A 21,200-nucleotide genomic window follows, 5' to 3' on the forward strand; every position below is an offset into this window, starting at 1 on the left:
GCCAGGGCCCTGGAGGGCTATGATGTGAGGCTCAGGGAACGCAGGCTGGGGGTGAGTGTTCCCAGGCTGTCCAAGGCCCCCATGCCCTGCTTGTGGCCCTGGAGAAAGGTGCCGTGTGGGAGGCTGAGGGGAAAATGCTGAGTTCCCTGGAAGGACCCATGATTCTGAGAGAAACCACAGCAGGGGTGGTGAGCCTCCTGTTCCCCCACTTCCCGGGCCCCGGTGAGGCTGTGTGCACTGTGTGGGTGTGCCTGGGGCTCCACTTGCCCCTCCCATGTACCTGCTCATTTTCCCCAGGCTGTGGGCATTTGGGGCAGGGGCCTCAGTGCCTGGTCGGCTCTCTCCCGGTTCTATCCAATGCCCCAAGCTGTGCTGGGCTGGAGGGGCCGGGCAGGGTGAGCCCCCAGGAAGGAGGTTGGCATCCCAGCTGGGGCTCCATCTCTGGCCTCTGCCAGCCTTGAGATCCCCAGTCGTCTGTGTCTCCCTCCTGGGGCCCAGCAGGCCTGCTCAGCTCTGAGCCCCATGTCCGTTCTCACCCTGCTCTGCTTTTCCTTGGGGTGCTGGCCCTGCCCTGGCCTCCAGAAATGGCCCCTGCCCCCACCCCTTCCTGTCTGAGGGGCCGGGCTGTTCCTCTCCTGCCCGGCGTGTGCCCACCTAGGCCCAATAGGCATAGTGCCCCCAGCCCCTCCTGCCCTGTTCTGGCCTTCACGCCCAGCCATGCCGGCAGCCTGCCTCAGTGGCCTGGGCCTTCGCCAGCGCCTGGCTCTGTGTCCAGCTGCCACTCCTGTGGCCCTACGGTGCTGCCCCTTTCCCTCAGTGATGGGGGCTGGGCTTCCTGGGAACGGGCTGTGTCTCAGCTGCACACACCTGTGTGTGTCAGTGTGCGCATGGGAGTGCGTGTGTGTGCTGGGGGTGTGTGCAGGAATGCTTGTGTCTGGGGGCAGGGGGAGCGTCTGCCTTCCTGCCCCAGGCCTGGAATGGCCATGCCAGGGTGGGTGGGAGCAGCGGGTGCGAGGACAGTGCTGCTTTGACGTCTGCGTGTGGCTGGTGGGGGCGGGAGGACGTGGTGTGGCACGAGTCTCGGGCTCCCCATCTCCATCCAGCTGATCCCAGATGGCTGCGCTCCTGAGGGTTTAGAGCAGCCCAGGGGGTCAGGAGGCTGTTGGGACGCTGGAGGCAAGCGCTGGCAGGGATGGGGGTGGGCTGGCCAGGCAGCGTGGCCAGGGGGCTTCGAGCCGGGGCAGTGAACCATCCCCCAACTTTTTAAAGTTTTAAAAGTCATATTTACACAAGTGTAGTTTACATTCAGTATAATCCATCCTGTGACATGTGAGTTTCAACAAATGCACACTCATGCAACCACCACCGTAATCCAGATGAACAGTTGCAAGAAGATGTAGAATCTCTCCAAATATTCCACCAGGCCCCTTTGCAATCAACGCCTCCCTGATGGCCAGGAATCCATTGATCTGCATTCTGTCAGAAGATTCAGAGTTTATCATTAAAATGATCTATTATGGAAAATATTATAAGCATACAAAACACAAAACCAAGTTTTAAAAAGTGAGGTATTTCTTAAAAGTTTAGTATACAAACAAAATGAAGGTACCTTCACATTTTACTACAGATGTGCAGATAGTTTTCTTGGTGCACAGAGATAAGGCAGAATTAAGTCAGAATAAACGTTCTAAAACTGACCTCCGGAAGAACTAGTCTTAGTCATTTCTTTGCAGAGTATGTGAACCAAGATTCGGGTTTGGTCTTTGGTGTTAGCACTGTGTCAAGGATCAGATAGAAAGTACAAATGGAGGGGCCCCTTTCTGAGGCCAGGCCCCACTGTCGGGGCATGTGGGGTGACCAGGGGCCAATACCAGCTGAGGCTAAGAGGCTGCTCTCAGAAGGGTAGGTTTCCAGGTGTCTCTTGAACCCTTTGTTCAGAACCAGGACATGTGTGGCTGGGCAGCAGCCTTCAGACCCCCCACAGGCTGGTGCCCGGTGCCCACAGCCCTCTCTTGGGTCGTCAGGCCCCTGCACCCGTGGTGGGGTGTTGGGCTCCAGAGTTCCCTGGGACCAGCTGATCTCTTGTCCTTGGTTTTGGCCCAAATGCAAGCCCCTGGTCTCCTCCAAGTAACTTCCTTTCCCCAGGGCTGTCCAGGCCCCACCGCTCCCTGTTCCTTCCCAGGGCCTCCTGCAAGTCCCGATGCTGACGCCTCTCTGCCCACCTAGTTTGTGGCCGCCGCCTCCAGCTCTGTGTCTGCCTCCCAGCGAGGGAGCTGTGGTTGATGATCTCGTGAGTGTCTGCCCTTCTGAAGGGTACAGTGTGAAGTCTCGTCAGTCTCACTTCAATGCCTAAGCACCTCTTCAGAAACCAGGGATTCATCCGGGTTTCTCCATCTTTAACCATGTTTTCTAAAGGTTTTCTTGGCAATTTCCTGGCAATTTGCAAGACAGGATTTTTTGGTTGCCAACTTCCAATTAGCTTTAAACTTGCCACGATCTCCCAGGTCATCCCATCCATCGAGGATGCTTATTACATTCTTCCTGATTTCCATGTGGCCAAATTCAATAGTTATTTACCCCAGGCTTGTATTTTGGAGGCTAAAGAACTCTGTTACCAGCTATATCCGTGCTGTGGCTGCCGTAACAAAATATCACAAATGTGGCTTAAAACAACAAAAATTTTTTCAGAGTTCTGGGAGTCAGGAATCTGAGATCAAGGTGTTGGTGGCTGTCTCTGAGTGCTCCAGGGGAGGACCGTCCACCTCTTCCAGCTTCCTGTGGTGCAATAGTTTGGATGTGTGTCTCTTCAAATTTCGTGTTGAGATGTGATTCCCAGTGTTGGAGGTGGGCCTGGTGGGAGGTGATTAGATCATGGGGCTGGACCCCTCATGAATGGCCTAGCACCATCTCCCAGGTGATGAGCGAGTTCTCCCTCAGTTAGTCCCTGTGACAGCTCATTGTTTAAAAGTCTGGGACGTGCCACTTCTCTTCTCTTGCTCCCTCTTGCCATGTGACATGCCTGCTCCCCCTTCGCCTTCTGCCGTGATTGCAATCTCCCTGAGGCCTCGCCAGAAGCAGATGCCAGGGCCGTGTTTCCAGAATGGCTGCAGAACTGTGAGCTAGTTAATCCTCCCTTCCTTGCCACAGTGCCTGGTGCAAACCTCTTTTCTTTATAAATTACCAGATTCATGTTTTTTTTTTTTTCTAGTAACACAAATAGACTAACTCAGAACATTGGTATTGAGGAGTGGAACATTGCTATAAGGATACCTGAAAATGTGGAAGCAGCTTTGGAATCAGGTAACAGGCAGAGAGGTTAGAAGAATTTGGAGGACTCAGAAGAAGACAGGAAGATGAGGGAAAGTTTGGAATTTCTTAGAGACTATTAAATGGTTGTCACCAAAATGCTGATAGACATATGGACTGTGAAAGCCAGGCTGATGAAATCTCAGATGGAAATGAGGAACTTATTGGGAACTGGGGTAAAGGTCACGCTTGTTAAATCCTAAGAAACAACTTGGCTGCATTGTGTTCATGCCTTAGGGATCTGTGGAAGTTTGACCTTAAGAGTGATGACTTAGGGCATCTGTGGAAGACATTTCTAAGCAGATGTTTCTAAGGTGTGACCTGGTTGCTTCTAACAGTCTATGGTAAGATATGGGAGCAAAGAAATGACTGAAAGTTGGAACTTATATTTAAAAGGTGTAAACGACAAAATAAAATGCTAAACCAAGGGGATTCCAAAGAAACCTGGAAAACCAGTTCAGGCCATGACAGGAAGGGGAGGGTGGTTTGGACTCCCTCACTATACCCTCTCCCTGTTGGAGCTTAGGCTCAGCTGACCAGTGTTAACATTAAAACAGGGAGCTTAAGACTGACAAAGCAGACTCTTTGTAGCAATAAGGTATCAAATCCCAACCTGACTCTGGTATAGCATCACATGACAGGTGGCAGGCATGGAAGGAAATTAAAGTATTTATTGCCAGAATATGTTTCTCTGACACATTTTGGAAGGGCCCTGCAAAGCCGTCTCTTGTGGAGGAAATGTATATTCTGTTGAGAATCTTTTTCCCTTTCCAGGTCTCTTCCTGATTCAGGAGAGATTTATCCAAGAGTCTGGCACCTTTTAGGTTCTGATAAGAGACATTGACCATCTCTTCTCTCTGGAACGTGGAGCCTTCGTCTACATAACAAGAACCTTGGCTTCCACAACCCCCTTATCTTAAGCATTGCTTTTCGCTGACTTCAACTTTTTAGATAATTTAAATTTTTCAGCCAATCGCCAATCAGAAAATCTTCAAATCCACCATGATTTGGAATTCCCCACTTTGAATTGTCCTGCTTTTCCAAACCAAATCAAACCAATGTATACTTTACATGTATTGATTGATATGTCTCCCTAAAACATAAAAGCAGGCCGCAACCCAACCACCTTGCACAGGTGTTCTCAGGACCTTTTGAGGCTGTGCCACAGTTCATGGCTCTCATATTTGGCTCAGAATCAATTTTTCAAGTGTTTTATGGAGTTTGGCTTTTTTCATCAACAAAGGGAAGCAGAGCATAAAAAATGTGGAAAATTCACAGCCTGGCCATGTGGTAGAAAAGAAAAGGTATTTTCAGGAGACAAATATAAGTAGGCTATGGAGCAGCCAGTTGCTAGAGAGATTAGCATAACTAAAAGGGAGCTAAGTGCTCATATCCAGAACAAAGGGAAAAAGGCCTTGAAGGCATTTTGGAAATCTCTGAGGTGGTCTTTCCCATCACAGGCCCAGAGGCCAAGAGGGAAAGGATGGTTTTGTGGGCCATGGCCATGGCCACTGCTGCCTGTGCAGCCTTGGGACACTGCTCTCCACATCCTGGTTCCTCTGGCTCCAGCCTTGGCTCAAAGGGCCCCAAGTACAGCTTAGGCTGCTGCTTTGGAGAGTGCAAGCCACTATAAGCCTTGGTGACTTCCATCTGGTGTTAAGCCTGTAGGCCCCCAGAATGCAAGAGTGAAGGAAGCTTGGCATCTTCCCTCTAGATTTCAGAAATGTATGAGAAAGCCTAGCTGCCCAGACAGAAGCCTCCTGCCAGCATGGAGCCCTCACAGAGAACCTCTACTAGAGCAGTGCCAAAGAGAATGTGGGGTTGAACCCCCATATAATGTCCCCACCAGGGCACTGCCTAGCGGAGCTGTGGGAAGGGGGCCACTGTCCTCCAGACCCCAGAATGGTGGATCCACTGGCAGCTTGCACCCTGAATCTGGAAAAGCCACAGGCACTCAACTCTATCGTGTGAGAGAAGCCACAGGGGCTACATCCTCCAAAGCCACAGGGGTAGAGATTTCCAAGGCCTTGGGAGTCCACCCCCTGCACCAGTGTGCCCTGGATATGGGACACGCAGTCAAAGGAGATTACCTTGGAGCTTTAAGATTTAATAACTGCCCTGCTGGATTTCTGACAAGTATGGGGCATGTAGATCCTTTCTTTTTGCCAACTTCTCCCTTGTGGAATGGGAATGTTTACCCAATGTCTGCACACTCATTGTATTTTGGGAGTCAATTTGTCTTTGATTTCCTAGGCTGATAGGTGGAAGGGACTCATCTTCAGATGAGACTTGGGACTTGGGAATTTTGGGTTGATTCTGGAATGAGGTAAGACTTTGGGGGATTGTTGAGAAGGCATAATTATATTTTGCAACATGAGAAGGACATGAGATTTGGGGGACCAGGGGTGGAAGGATATGGTTTATATATTTGTCCCCTCCAAATCTCATGTTGCAATATGATTCCCAGTGTTGGAAGTGGGGCCTGGTAGGAGGTGATTAGATCAAGGGGGAAGATCCCTCATGAATGATTGAGCATCTTCCCCTTGGTGATGAGTGAATTCTCCCCCAGTCAGCTCACACACAATCTAGTTGTTTAAGTCTGGGGCCCCCCTCAGCCTCTTGCTCCCATTCTTGCCATGTGGCATACCTGCTGTCCCTTCACCTTCTGCTATGCTGTAAGTTTCCTGAGGTCCTCGCCAGAAGCAGATGCTGGTGCCATGCTTCCTATACAGCCTGCAGAACTGTGAGCCAATTCAACCTCTTTCCTTTATAACTTACTCAGCCTCAGGTATTTCTTTACAGTAATGCAAATGGACAAACACAGGTGGCTCCTGACACACCCCTCATCTTCTTCTTTGTCATCATGTGGCTTATCTCCACGTGTGTCTGTGTCCTCTCCTCTTATGAGGACACCAGTGTTTGGACTTGGGATCCATCCAAAATTTAGTATGATATCATCTCAAGTCCTTAACCTAATTTGTAAAGACCCTATTTCTAAATATGGTCACATTCTGAGGTTCCAGGTGGGCATACATTTGGCCAGGGAGATGCCATCAGCCCACCACACCAGCCTATGCAGGTACATTTGCATATAGCTTAGGGTTGACCTTTCCCATGGAAGTATTACATCCCCCTCTGGACTCCAGTTTCACATGTTTTAGAATGCTTCGCCTTCTCCAGCAGGATGAGTCTTTTTTCCTTTTTTAGTATTTTTCTCTCTTTTCTTTGGATTGGATTAAAAATAATTGATATATTCTATTGATGCATCTTTAAGTTTTCAGTTCCTTCTTTTGTCTTCTCCAATCTGTTATTAAACTTGGGTAATGTTTTTCTCTTTCTTTTCTTTTTTAATAAAATAGAGATGGGGTTTCACCACGTTGCCCAGGCTGGTCTCAAGCTCCTGAGATCAAGTGATACTTCCCTGTTGGGCCCCCAAAGTGCTAGGATTACAGGTATGAGCCACTGGGCCTGGCCAAATGTTTTTCATTTCAGAATCATACTTTTAGTTCTAGAATTTTCATTTGGTTCTTGTAACTATTTTCAGTTTTTTATAGAGATACCTCATCTAGTCACTCATGATAACCATATTCTCTAAGTCTTTGAACATTTTTAACATAACTTCTTTAAAGTCCTTGTCTGATAACTGTATCTGCATCTAGGTCATCTTGGAGTTGATCTCCATTGATCCCTTTTTCTTCTGACTTTGGATCACATTTTCATGTTTCTTTGCATCCATGGTAATTTTGGATGTGCACCTGATGTTGTTGATAACATGTGTACAGGCTATGGGGTTTGCATCCTTCCTTAGCAGAGCATTAATTGTTTTTTTCATGTTAGCAAGCAGTTAGCTTGAGTTGACTCAAACTCCCAAGTCTGTCTGCCTGGGAGTTGGCAGTATCTGCAATCTCAGTTCTCTTGACTATACAGGTGCTGCTTTCTGCTGGACCCTTTGGAGTTTTCCCTACCCATGCACACCTAAGGGATCGGCCAGAGGTTTCAGTGGAGTTTACCTGCAGGTTGTGGGGTTTCCCTTCGGTGACCTTCTCCTTTATGGACATCTTCTCTTCATTTCCAGCTGCTCTGAAAATGTAGCCCTGCATCCCACTCCTCACCAGGAGGACTGCAGTTTCCTGCTTGAACTCTAGCTGCACCCATTACATGCCCTGGGGTGTGACTTCAGATGAATATTTCAGGGAATAATCCTTACTAGTGTTTGCCTACTTCTGGTCATGTTCCAGTGCCTGTAATTGGTGTGTGTGGGTGTTGTGTGTGCTTACAGCATTTCCAGTGTTTATAATTGCCATCTGCCAAAGGGCTAGTCTGATATTAGCTGCTCCAGCATTATTGGAATCGGAACTACTTTCTCTCATGTGGTTTTTCATTTTCATTTCCCTGTTGACTAGTGTGGTTCAACACCTTTTCATATGTTTAGTGGCTATTTGGATATCTTCTGTAAAACATCTGTTCAATTCTCTTGCCTATTCCTCGTTGGATTATTTGATTTTTTTTCTCATTGGTTTACAGGGGTCTTCTTTATATTATGGATCTGTTTGTGTCAGTCAGTTATATATGTTTATAGGAAGCATTAAGAAGAACTGAAATGGACCAAATGATTACTAGGTGCCTTCCATGGAAAGCAAGGCATCGTCTTGTACACTCTTCCAGGTTATTTCATTCTGTGGAGCTCTGCATCTTTCATTTCCTTTGAACTATTTTACACCTCTATAAGCCAGGGGTCCCCAACCCCTGGGTCATGCACTGGAACCGGTTCATGGCCTGTTAGGAACTGGGCCACAGAGCAAGAGGTGAGGGATGTGTGAGCATTCCTGCCCGAGCTCCACCTCCCGTCAGATCAGTGGCAGCATTAGATTCTCATAGGAGCGAACCCTATTGCGAGCTGCACATTCCTGGGATCTAAGTTGCACACTCCTCGTGAAATCCTAATGCCTAATGATCTGAGGTAGAACAGCTTTGTCCCCAAGACATCCCCCGATCTTGGTCTGTGGAAAAATTGTCTTCCATGGAACTGGTTCCTGGTGCCAAAAATGTTGGGGACCACTGCTCTAAGTTGTACATAATTGATAGCAATGCAAAAACTCTTTGAGTTGGTAGAAATGCAAGTTCTCACCTTTGGAAGGACAATGAATTGCTCCTCATCTTCCAGGGAAAAGGCCAGTTTTGCATCTATCTATGAACTCCTTTTAGCATTCCTGAATCAATTATGTTAAGTGTAGTACTTAGAATTCCACTTTGAACTGGTTACGACACCTTAATTAATGAGATAAAGAGCATCTCTGAAATGTGTCGTCATATGTTTATGTGAGTCCTGATCATAATAGTTTTAAAAAATGATCTCTTAACTCGTTGTGATTTCTTCTCCCCCACGGCCCCACCCAGCCGCAGTATCCACGGAGCTTAGTTTTCTGTGGCCCAGGAGGGCAGGAGACCCGGTGTTGACGGGGAGATCTGAGATTGGCCCCAACTTTTCCCCACAGCTCTGCTTCAAGGAGTGCCCTGGGAAGGCCTCCCAACCCCACACCTGTCCTGTTGGCCAAGGCGAGCTCCATGCCATGTGGCATCTCTGCCGCTGGCCACCTGGTGAGTATCTGTTGAATAGAGAAATGTGCAGCATCTCCACAGAGCTTCCAGGGCTTCTGTGCTCTCCAAACATCTCTGGGCTCCCGGCACCCTCTCAGGGTATGATGTGTTGGTGGCTGGGTTGGGCCCCTGTCCCTGAGGGTAGGACTCAGGCAAGGACAAAGCTCTGGACTCAAAGAGCTGGTGTGGGGGTGAGTGAAAGGAACAGGAGCTTTGGGGTCAGAAATGCGGGTTTCAGCCTGCATTGTCCCCATGAGCAGGGGCTTGCAGGCTCACCAAGGCCTCAGTTTCTTCGATGGTGAGAGAGTGTCAGAGACTGCAGCACGTATTTGAAAGTGTCCAGGGACGGCAGGGGTCTGGGTTGGACCAGCTCTCCTGAATACTGAGGGTGCGATCTTGACCATTGTGAAAGGAAAATAAAATCTCAGGACCCTAAAGTCACTATGCCAAAAAGAACAGTTGAGGTGGGAAGCTGAGTCATGAAAAAAAAAAAAAGTCATGCGTTTCCTTTTGTTTCCAAACTGAGAGCAGCAGCAGATAGGCCAGGTCTACCCAGGTGGCCTCCCTCACCCTGACAATATAAATTAACAGCCCGGTCTTCATGACATGGGACAAAATGAGACAAGAAATCATCCCTCCTGCCCCTGAGACAAATGCATATTTGACTTCTTCCTCTACTCTGTTTATTTTCTTATAAAGTGCAGATTTACTGAGCACAAGGCGAATGCGTAATTGCTCCCTCCACCCCTCCTTTTCATGCAACGTGGGGGCTCAGTGAGATGTAATCAAAGCCTCAGAAGAATGTGACTCTCCCGTCTTGCTTTTTTCTCTTTCATCTTTCCCCTCCTCCAGCTTTTCCCCTTTTCAATATTGAAGCAGGACATAGTGTGACTGCATCTGGGGTCAGGTGTGGGGTGGTCCATGTGGATAGTGAGGAAGGTGGTCCCTGCCCGTGGTGGTCCGGGTTTCCTGGGAGATGGCCAGACGTGGGTGCTGAGGGGAGGAGGCCAGTGCAGTCACTGGACGGGAGAGAGCATGTCCATTGTGCTGAGTGGGCTGGGAGGGATCCACAGAGAAGACGGTGTGGCTCAACAGCTGGCACTGGGGACAGGAACGTGGGTGAAGGGCCTGGCACATGGAGTAGCTCAAGGCGTGAGGCTGTGACCCACCTGGAGAGCCTGTGCCTGAGTGTGCTGGGTGGGTGCTGGGGTTGCAAACATTCGTGTGCCTGTGAGGCCCGTGTGTGTATGTGTGTGTCACGTGGCCCCCATGCGTGTCAGGCATTGTTGCGTGTCCCCCATGCGTGGCAGGCAGCATCACATGTCCCCCATGCGTGGCAGGCATTGTCGCGTGGCCCCCGTGCGTGGCAGGCATGTGCAGCCTGAGTACCATGCCAGATGGGGCGTTCTGTCTCCTCCAGGCCCTGCCCTGCCATGTGAGCAGGGAGCTTCCCCATGGGACTGATGTTCTGTCTCCTCCAGGCCTGGCCCTGTCCTACCATGTTAGCAGGGAGCTTGGCCATGGGAGTGGTGGGCACAGGCGTGGCTGTGCCGGGCCTCACTGGCTGGATTCGGTGGGGACACCATACCCCTTGCTGAGTGTGGGTGTTAGAGGGTTCGAGGTGCCCTCTGGGAGGTGGTCGGGCAGAGGCAGGGTTGGGAGTGTGTGGGGAGATGGGTGTTCAGCTAGGTTCCTTCCCTGTGCAGGGGCTCAGCTGAAACCTGGGCTCTCACTCCCCTCACCCCTGCCTCCCCAGCATCCTCACTCTGCCCCTCTCTTCAGCCTGCCTCGGGCCTTGCCCTGGGACCCCTGCTGAGATGACAGGAGGGGCTTCAGCAGCACCCTGTGCTGGGTGGACGCCGAGGTCACAGGCTCGCTCTGTGTCTCCTCACAAGGCCACGTGGTGGCAGGTCCTTCCTCCTGTCTAACCAGAGTCCTGCTTGCTGCTCTGCAACCCCCTTGGGTCACGTGGGGCAGGGGCACCTAGCAGGGTGGGCTTCGTGGACTCAAGGGCCACCAGTTCCTCCAGGTCAACCTGCTCAGATCGTTCCATTCTCCCCCTTCCCTTGGCCACAGAGACCTCTGTATGCTGGGGTGACCACAAATGTCACAACAGCAGAGTCACACCAGGAATGTCACACCATGTCACACCACATCACACTATGTCATGCCAGGGATGTCACGCCACATCACACCATGAAACTCATCATCACACTAGGGATGTCGTACCCTGCCACACCCCATCCTGCCACATCACACCATGTCACACCGCATCACATCACACCAAGGATGTGGCACCCTGTCACAGCACGTCACACGTCACATCATGTCACACCACACCTCATCACACCACAGATGTCATACCCCATCACACCACATCACATTACATCACACCACGTCAAACTACCTCACACCCCATCACACCAGGGATGTCACACCCCATCACACCACATCACATGTCACACCACGTCACATGCCACACCATATCACAGTATGTCACAGCCTGTTACACTTCATCACACCACATCACACCAGGGATGTCACACCTTGTCCCATCACATCACATCATGTCACACCATTCCACATCATTTCATATTATAGCTCATCATACCAGGGATGTCATACCCATCACACTATGTCACAGCACATCACACCAGGGATGTCACACTGTGTCACACCACATCCCACCATGTGCAACACCACCTCACACCAGGGACATTACACCATGTCACACCACATCCCACCATGTGCAACACCACCTCACACCAGGGACATTACAACATGTCACACCACATCACATCACCCCTCGGATATCACACTGTCATACCACATCATACAACATCACACCATGTCCTGTCACATCATGCCACATGACATCCACGTCACACCAGAGACATCACACCACGTCACACCATGTCATGTTACATCACAGCACGGACTGCTGGGGTATGTGCAGGGGCCGCCCACAGTGCAGCCTTGCTGGAGAGTTGAGGGAGGGTCCTGGGGCTGGGCATGGTGTTCCCTCAGGAGGGCTGACCCTCTGGAGGATGCTCGGTCCCAGGTGGAAAGGGGGCGGTGGGCCCCGGGTGGCTCAGGGAGGGGCCCAATTTCCCTAGGGGAACCTGGTCCAGGCGCCAGGCCCTGCAGGGGCAGGAGCTGCAGGAAGCATCTGCTTCTTCCCAACTCAGCCTGCTCAGTGCACGGAATGACCCGGAGCCCGGCACCATCCTGGGTTTCCTTTCCTTATCCTGGCCAGGCCGTCCATCCTCAGACAGTGGACTGGAGCCCACCCCACCAGGGCACCCGGAGGCCCGTAGGGCCCCTTGAAGGGCAGAGGGTGGAGATCTCTCCAGCAGGGTCCCTGAGGGCTGGCACCTTCTCTGGACAAAGCTCTCCTGCATCTCTGGGACGCCATCCTTGGGCTTGGGATAGAGCCGGTGATGCAGCAGCTGCCCGCCCTGCACCCCAGGTGCTGTCTCCCTCACCCCCCGCGGGGCTGCAGCAGCGTGTCCTGAGAGTTAAAGGGCTGGGCTTCAGCACCCAGTTCAGGCCAGGCCCCCTGGAGCCCACCCTCCAGTGGCGAGCCTTCCCACGGCATGGCAGGGCCTGGAGTCTGGGGATTTAGTCCCCAACTCCGTGTTTGGTGCAGCTCCAGCTGCTCGATGCCACACAAACGAATCCAACCACTCCTCCTTCCTGGGTGAGATGGTCTCTCTCCTGCCACAGGCAACTCCGACGGCATTTTCCAGCCACCGCAGCCACCGCAGCCACTGCAGTAACAAGACCCTGTCCTTGACTGAGTTCCAGCCAGGCTCCTCGGAGCCTCTCCACTCGGCCTCAACCTTGGCTTGTAAAGACTTGAGCAGACACTAACAGTTTCTAACAGCTTCTGGCCGTACCCCTAGGCCGACCCCTGCCCCGTCAACACCTGCCTGAGAAAGCTCCGTGCACCAGAACTCACCGTTTGGACCAACCCCGACCTCCCTTTCTCAGGGTGTCTGCTGAGAGGGCCGCAACCACACGTCCTTCTATCCGTTCCCGATGTCTGTGCATTTCCTGTGACCCAGGAGGGTCTTTCTCAAGACTTGAGAGCCGCTCCCTGAAGTGTCCCCTTTGTGAAGGATGGGGCCTGTGTCTCCAGGCTCTGGGAGGACAGAATCCTGACCTCAACAGTGGCCGGCACGGACACAGCAGGTCCCATCCCGGGGACGCTGACCAGCGCTGGGCAACTTTTCCCTTCCCCGACGACTGAGCCCCGAGCACCCACCCTGCTCCCCCTACCACCTCCCTTTACAAGGCTGTGGCCTCTGCACAGATGAAGGTGAGTCCAGGTCATGCCGGACTCTTTCTTCTGTTGCAATAGTTATTTCTGTTGAAAATCCGTCCTTGCTACATGATCTAGTGCCCAGCTTTATCTTTGAAAATGTCTCTCTCCACCTTTGCCTCTCCTGCCTTGTCCTCGTTCCTGGCACCCACCATGTGTCCTATGGGCTGAATTTTACCATAGAATGAATCACACACCAGGTTTCACCTGTGCCTGATGAGGGTGACAGTTTGATGAGATTTTAGGCTTAGAATTGATGCTGAAAGGACTAAGACTTGGGGGATGCTGAGACAGATGAATGTATTTTGCATGTGAGAAGAACATGAAATTTGGGGGGCCATAGCATGGACTGTTATGAGTTAAATTGTGGCCCCTACAAATTCATATATTCAAGTCTTAATCCCTGGCCTCACAATGTGACTATTTGGAGATGGGGTCTTTACAGAGGTCATTAAGTTCATATGGGGTCACTAATCTAATGCGATGTGTGTTCTTATAAGAAGAGAAGCTTAGGACACGGGCACACAGAGGGATGGCCATGTGAGGACCAGGGAGGAGACGGTGTCTACAAGCCAAGGAGAGAGGGCTTGAGAGAAACCAGCCCTGCCTGCATCCTGATCTCAGATTCCTGGTCTCTAGGCCTGGGAGGATCCATGTCTGCCGTGGGAGCTGCCCCGCTGTGGTCCTGAGCTGACGCACACAGATCTGACACCCACCTCTCGCTTCGGACCATGGTTGGTTCTGGAAGGCCCTCCCTGTGGCTCTGCCTGGCCAGCCTGAGCCAGCTCCCAGCCTCGACCCAGCTTTCCCTGGAGGCCCTGTCCCCCGCAGAGTGACCAGGGCAGGCAGCACCGTGCCCAGCAGGAGGAGAAACTGCATCCATGTAGAAAAGAGGAGAAGCCCCGGGGGTCCATGTAGCGACAGGGGCCAGGGAGGGCCGCTCGGGCAATGCGTGTGGCTGCAGGAGGCGGGGGGCGAGTGCAGGGAGCCCCCGAGGTGCAGCTCGACCAGCCTCCTCCTGACCGTGCTTCCCACCGGGGGCAGGAGGCGCGTGGACACAGGAAGGCGGCTCCCATCACGAAGTACAAGACTTAAAAAGGATATTTTATTGTCATCACAAAAGAAACATCAAAGACAATTAATGAGCTTTAGAAAATTTAAAAGAAGAAGAAAAGCCAAAGCTGAAATGGTGACACCTCCTTCGAGTGAGCCCGGGAGTCCTCCCTGACGGCCGAGGCAGGCGCTGGCCGCAGTCCCGCTCGAGCCTCCCTTCCTGTCTGTGGATTCTGCGTGACAGTCACGGAACGGTGTGATGGGGGCAGCAGAGCGTGGGGGCCTCTGTCCAGCACTCGTGGCCAGCAGCCCCGCTTTCGCAAGAACACGGGCACCCTCTTTGTCGTCTTGCCTCTCCACCTGGTGCCCCCAGAGTGGCTGCTTGTTCCTGCTGCACGTGACCCGGGACTGGACGCCAGCCTCTGTGATGAGTTCTGGCTGTGTCCACGCTCCTGGCTCTCCCGGTGTCCCTCCACCTCTCTCCCCGATGCTCCTGGGCCTCCTCTGTCCTCAGGCCCCACCAAGGCTGAGTCTTGCCCGCCTGGGACCTGGTCACCAGCCTTCTGTGGGAGGCCTGTCTGGGCAGATGCCCAGCCCTTCCTTGGGCTATCCTCACCCTTGCACTGTGGGGCTCCTGCAGCGGCCACATGGCCCAGGCTCTTCTCCGAGTGATCTCGGTGGACTGGAGTGGGTGGTAGGTGGCAGTGTCCTGGGCCTGGCCCTTTCTCTCCCCAGTGCGGACTCTGGGGCTGGCTGTCCCTGCGGGTCCAGTTCCACCCGAGAATCCAGCAGTGTGGGCAGGCAGCCAAGGGGTGGTGCTGGCACCGAGACTGTTCCCAGGAGCCAGAGAGCAGCGTTCTTTGCTTGAAATCAGAACAACCTCATTCCTCATGTCAGGAGTTCACGGGAGTGCCCGGAATGGAGGCTGGCTGGCTGCGGGCTGGGAGGAAGGCCGTCTGAGTGAGCCTTCGCAGCTCTCGGAAGCCTCCCCAACAGGGCCTGATGGTGCTGTGGCTTCCCTACCTTGGCGACTGATGCTCCCACTCACCATCTGGAAACCATGCCTGTGTTCAGGAGGCTGGCGTGGACGGGGTTGGCTCCAGGGCGAGGTCCTGCCTGAGTGGGGGCCTGGGATGCCGGTTACCTCCTTTTGTGTGAGCACCTGGTGGTCCAGAGGGCAGGGACGTCCTGCTGAGGGGACACCTGGCCCTCAGCGCCCTGCATGCACCAAGCAGCGGAGGTCTGGGGTAGACCTGCTATGCACAGGGTCTGGAAGGGGGGCGTTTCAGGGCTCAGAGGGCGACTGCGAAGCCAGAGAGCCATGGGGTTGAGGGCGGTGAGGTCAGGGGGCAGGTGTGGCCTGGGTGGTGGCTGAGCATGGCCCACGGCTCGTGTGTGGGGTCTGGGCGGCCCTGGACACCCCGCAGAGGGTGGCCCTAGGCCCCCTGCCTTATCATGTTCCTGTAGTCGGGGACGATGGTCTGCTTCAGGTCCACCACTGAGGAGAAGATCCACTTCACCTGTAGGCAAGGCACAGCACAGGGGTGAGCGAGGCCACAGCCCTGCCCCTGAGCCCCACCCACCCCTCAGGCCACCCAGGCCACAGCCCTGCTCCCAAGGCCCATCTGCCTTTCAGGCCACCCAGGTACCGGGGCTCTACACTGCCTGCCCCCAGGCCTGGACATGGAGAGCAGAGCCATGGTAGTGACAGCATGTGGATAACACAGAAGACAACGTCAGGGACAGGTGGGGACAGCGTGGGGGACAGGGAGAGGTGGGGAGATTGGGGGACAGGTGGGGACAGCATGGGGGACAGTGTCAGGGACAGGTAGGGACAGCGTGGGTGACAGGGAGAGGTGGGGAGAGTGGGGGACAGGTGCGGACAGCATGGGGGTCAGTGTCAGGGACAGGTAGGGACAGCGTGGGGGACAGGGAAAGCTGGGGAAAGTGGGGGACAGCATGGGGGACAGTGTCAGGGACAGGTAGGGACAGCGTGGGGGACGGGGACAGGTGCGGACAGCATGGGGGACAGTGTCAGAGACAGGGACAGTGTGGGGGGTGAGTGGGGGACAGGTGGGGACAGCATGGGGGAGTGTCAGGGACAGGTGGGGACAGTGTTGGGGAAGGTGGGGACTGTGGGGTACAGTGTTGGGGAAGGTGGGGACAGCATGGGGGACAGTATCAGGAATGGGGGACCGCATGTGGGACAGCGTCAGGGACAGGCGGAGACTGGGGGACAGTGTGGGGGAAAGGTGGGACAGCATGGCGGACAGTGTTGGGGACAGGCTGGGGGAGAGCATTGGGGACAGGTACAGCGTGGGGGACAGAATCAGGGAGAGGTGGGGAGACCGTGGGGCACAGCATCAAGGACAGGTGGGGACAGTGTGGGGGACAGTGTCAGGATGGGGGATAGCATGGGGGACAGTGTCGGACATGTGGAGACAGCCTGGGGGACACTGTTGGACAGGTGTGTACAGCATGGGGGACAGTGTCAGGGACAGTTTGTGGAGAGAGTGGGGGACAGTGTCAGGGACAGTGTGTGACAGCATGGGGGACAATGTCAAGGACAGCTGGGGACAACGTGCGGCCGACCTTGAAGAAGGTGACGGTGGCACTGTAGCACACGCTTAGCAGGAAGAGTGTGATGAAGATGGTGATGGTCGTCCACAGCCCGTCCAGCTCCCCGTCCTGCGCCTCCGCACAGCTCTCCTCCAGTTGCAGCTCTGGACAGGAAGGGGGTGGTCAGTGCTGTGTCCCCCTGGGCTTGGGCCTCTGGGGGTGATTCCCTCTGTGGCGGGGCCCAGGATGTAGGGCCCGGCCGGGATGGGCCAACAATGTCCTGAGGTCAGCTCCCGGAAGCTGTCCACCCTGGGCACCAGCTTTGGCCCTGGGGCTCAGCCAGACACCCGGCCCTAGATAGCGACCTGGCCCTCAGCAGGACCCACTCCCCGTCTCCCGTGTCCCTCCCTGAGCCCCAGAGGGCAGGAGGATGGTGAAACCCACCCCTCATGTGACCCCAGCTGCAGGGAAGGGCTGTATTGGGACGTGGGCCAGTGCCAGGGACGCGACGTGGCGTGTGTTCCCCTGTGTGTGTGGCGGCTGCAGGGGCACCTTGTGAGAGGAGGGCTGGGTTTGTCTGAGCTGGTCAGCATGTGGAGAAGCTGCCGAGCGGCTCGTGGGCCTTGAGGTGCCGCGTGGGGCTCGTGGGGGCCTGTGTCTGAGGAGTGTTCACGTGTGCGAGGACCTTGCTCTGGTCTGGGTGCTGTGCGGTTCGCCCGGGTGAGGCTCCGTGTGTGAGGCGTGCACGTGTGTGTGTGGTGGCCGTGTGGCCGGCCAACCTCAGTGCGGGGTTTGTTGAACGGGTCTGGGCTGAGTGTGTGTGTGGGCATCTGGACCAGTCCCTCCACAGGGCCCGAGAGTGCATGTCCCCGGAGTCGGTTGTGTCCCCATGTGGGTTCGAGGCTGGGCAGGGCTGCCAGGGGTTAGTGCCGTGGGGGTAGATGGGTGAGGGAGGGCCTGTCCCTACGCACATGGACTAGGCATGCCCCCGAGTGGGCATGCGGGTCGGAGGACAGGGCGCTCACAGAACAGGACAGTCTCCTACAGAGGCAGGGGCTGTGTGTCTGTCCCCAGGGGCTCCTAGGGCTTCTCGTGGCCCAGCCCAGGGCAGGTGCTGCTGGAGGGAGGGCCACGCTGGCAAATCCCCCACCCTGCCGAGGGCAGCCCCTGGCTGAGCCCCACCCTAGGCGGCCCAGGCACACCTGCACAGCCTGGGCCAGTGTGGGGACAGTGGGACCCGCTCTGCCTCCCTCATGCCACTCAGGCCTCAGACTCGGCCTGACCCGTGGAAAGAACCATCACAGTCTCGCAGGGGCCCAGGGCAGCGCTGGGTGCTTTATTTCCATGCTGGGCGCCCGGGAAGTATGTACACGGGGTACGTGCCAAGCATCCTCGCGCGACCCCGAGAGCCCGGGGAGCGGGGGCTTGCCGGCCCTGGCACTCATTTACCCAGAGACAGGGAGAGGCTCTTCTGTGTGTAGTGGTTGTGCAGAGCCTCATGCATCACGGAGCATGAGAAGACATTCCCCTCCTGCCACCTGCTCTTGTCCACGGTGAGCCTGCTGTAGAGGAAGAAGGAGCCGTCGGAGTCCAGCACGGGAGGCGTGGTCTTGTAGTTGTTCTCCGGCTGCCCATTGCTCTCCCACTCCACGGCGATGTCGCTGGGGTAGAAGCCTTTGACCAGGCAGGTCAGGCTGACCTGGTTCTTGGTCATCTCCTCCTGGGATGGGGGCAGGGTGTACACCTGTGGCTCTCGGGGCTGCCCTGTAGGGACAGAGGTTGGCACAGCGGTCACTCCCAGGGCAGAGGGTGGGCCGAGCTGACCTCTGTCCATGTGGCCCTCGCACCCCGTGGGTCCCACCTTTGGCTTTGGAGATGGTTTTCTCGATGGAGGACGGGAGGCCTTTGTTGGAGACCTTGCACTTGTACTCCTTGCCGTTCAGCCAGTCCTGGTGCAGGACGGTGAGGACGCTGACCACACGGTACGTGCTGTTGAACTGCTCCTCCCGCGGCTTTGTCTTGGCATTATGCACCTCCACGCCATCCACGTACCAGTTGAACTGGACCTCGGGGTCTTCCTGGCTCACGTCCACCACCACGCACGTGACCTCAGGGGTCCGGGAGATCATGAGAGTGTCCTTGGGTTTTGGGGGGAACAGGAAGACTGATGGTCCCCCCAGGAACTCAGGTGCTGAGGAAGAGATGGAGGTGGATGCGTCAGCACCCGGCTGGGGCCTGTCCCTGGATGCAGGCTACTCTAGGGCACCTGTCCCGCCTTGAGCTGGAGGGCGAGGCCTGGGTTGGCTTACCTGGGCATGATGGGCATGGGGGACCATATTTGGACTCTGCAGAGAGAAGATTGGGAGTTACTCAGATCTGGGAGGAGAGAAGGTGTCTGAGCTGAGGGAGTGGAGAGTTTGGCCTTTGGGGTGGGCTTAGGTCAGGGGCAGGGTCCTCCCGGATATGGCTCTTGGCAGGTCTGAGCGCAGCACCTGCCCCTGTATGCGCAGGGCCTGGGGTAGGGGCATCCAGCCTGTGGCTGCCCGGAGCCTGGTGGAAAAATCCAGAAGACCCTCTCCCTGAGCATGAGTGGGGTGGTCAGAGGCCTCCGGGTGAGGAGACAGATGGGGCCTGCCTTGCTGCCCTGGGCTGGGGCTGCACAGCCGGGGTGCGTCCAGGCAGGAGGGCTGAGCCTGGCTTCCAGCAGACACCCTCCCTCCCTGTGCTGGCCTCTCACCAACTCTCTTGTCCACCTTGGTGTTGCTGGGCTTGTGATCTACGTTGCAGGTGTAGGTCTTCGTGCCCAAGCTGCTGGAGGGCACGGTCACCACGCTGCTGAGGGAGTAGAGTCCTGAGGACTGTAGGACAGCCGGGAAGGTGTGCACGCCGCTGGTCAGGGCGCCTGAGTTCCACGACACCGTCACCGGTTCGGGGAAGTAGTCCTTGACCAGGCAGCCCAGGGCGGCTGTGCTCTCGGAGGTGCTCCTGGAGCAGGGCGCCAGGGGGAAGACCGATGGGCCCTTGGTGGAAGCTGCAAGAGAGGTGGTGCCATGTGACCGCGGTGTGGGACAGAGCTGGGCCCAGGGCGCAGAGGCCCCTCGGTTCTTGTCTATCTGCGATGGTCCATGCAGGGTCCAGTGTCTGGGCTCACGGGCATTGGGTGTGCGCCTGGCTGGCGCCACCTGCGTCACCTTAGCCCCCTCCCTGCCCCCAGCCAAAGTCAGGCCCGGCCTGCCCCAGAAAGCTTGCAGGACCGGTGGCCCTGTGGTGCCCTTCTGCAGGCACCCCTGCAGCCTAGGGGGCGGGGCTCGGCAGCCAGGTCAGCGCTCTGTGCCTGCCGGGAGTCAGCACAGTCCAGTGTCTCTAGCTTGGCCTCAGCTCTGGCCATCGGTGCCACCTCAGGGACGGCTCATGCCCATTGGCCCCACTCCAGCCTTTTATGGGTGCCTGGCTTGACCAGTGGACACTGTTCTCAGATGGCTTCTCGTGGGTCCCCCGAGTCCCCTGAAGCTCCTGACCCTGCCGCCCCAGCGTGGCCCTCCGCTAGTGAGTGGGCCTGACTTGCCCAGGGCCCTGGTCATAGCCTGCCCTCTGCCCTCCAAGGCCCTTTTCTTCTGTGCAGCAGAGGGGCCAGACACTGCATAGGGTCGGCGCCCTTCAGCCCCAGGGCCCCGGAACCCCCTGCCTTGGAATAGCCTCCTGGAGCCTCCTCCTCAGCCTCTCCCCTCCTTTCCCCTTAGCCCCAGTGTGCAGCAGCCCAGGTCAGGGCCCTGAGTGCCTGGATGCCCCCTGCCTCCCAGTGTCCTGCATTACTTCTGGAGGCTCAGTCACCACAACCTCACCCTCCCAGCCCTGGCCTGGCCTTCTCGGCCACCAGCCCACCTCCTCCCTCTCTCCAGAGCTTCCCCCGGCAAGGTCCCTGCTGGGCTCAACCCAGGCCCCCCAGCACAGGTAGGAGCCTTGCACCTGCCCTTGGCCCTCCCCACCCTGCATGGTGCCAGGACCCCCAGGCCACAGGGAGGCCCCATTTCTCTCTGCCGCTGGCCCAGTGGCCCTGGAGTCCCACTGCAGGTGGGGTGTGCCCCTGACCTCTGAGGAGGCTAAGCGCCCTGCCCTCAGCCAGGCCATCCCCTCTGCTCGGCCCCAGGGCCCCGCTCACCACCCCTTCCCCTCACCTGCACCACAGGCTCTGGCTGACTCTGCCCAGGCCCTGAATGGGCCCCTCTGGCAGCCCTCTGCTGCTACACTGCCCTGCACCACCTCCACTCAGCTTCATTGTGCTGATGGTCCTGGCTCCTGGCAGCCCATCTTGCTCCTTCTGGGGCGCCAGCCTCAGAGGCCTTCCTGCCCAGGGTCCGCT

At 55.7% G+C, this 21,200-nt stretch overlaps 1 non-coding gene, 1 gene segment (V, D, J or C) and 1 further gene; 1 reads left to right on the forward strand and 2 right to left on the reverse strand.

Moving 5' to 3' along the window:
• The window catches only part of IGH (immunoglobulin heavy locus), a 1,293,408-nt gene that overhangs the window by 19,758 nt on the left and 1,252,450 nt on the right, over nucleotides 1-21,200 (reverse strand).
• On the forward strand, nucleotides 14,922-14,986 carry MIR8071-1 (microRNA 8071-1). Its single transcript, NR_107038.1, has one exon. It is a non-coding gene; the product is annotated as a microRNA 8071-1 (primary transcript).
• On the reverse strand, nucleotides 18,282-19,871 carry IGHG4 (immunoglobulin heavy constant gamma 4 (G4m marker)). The segment is given in 4 exon segments: nucleotides 18,282-18,604; nucleotides 18,702-19,031; nucleotides 19,150-19,185; nucleotides 19,578-19,871. Coding segments are annotated over 4 exon segments (983 nt in total).

This window comes from Homo sapiens, chromosome 14, assembly GCF_000001405.40.
Source record: "Homo sapiens chromosome 14, GRCh38.p14 Primary Assembly".
Lineage (NCBI taxonomy): Eukaryota > Metazoa > Chordata > Mammalia > Primates > Hominidae > Homo > Homo sapiens.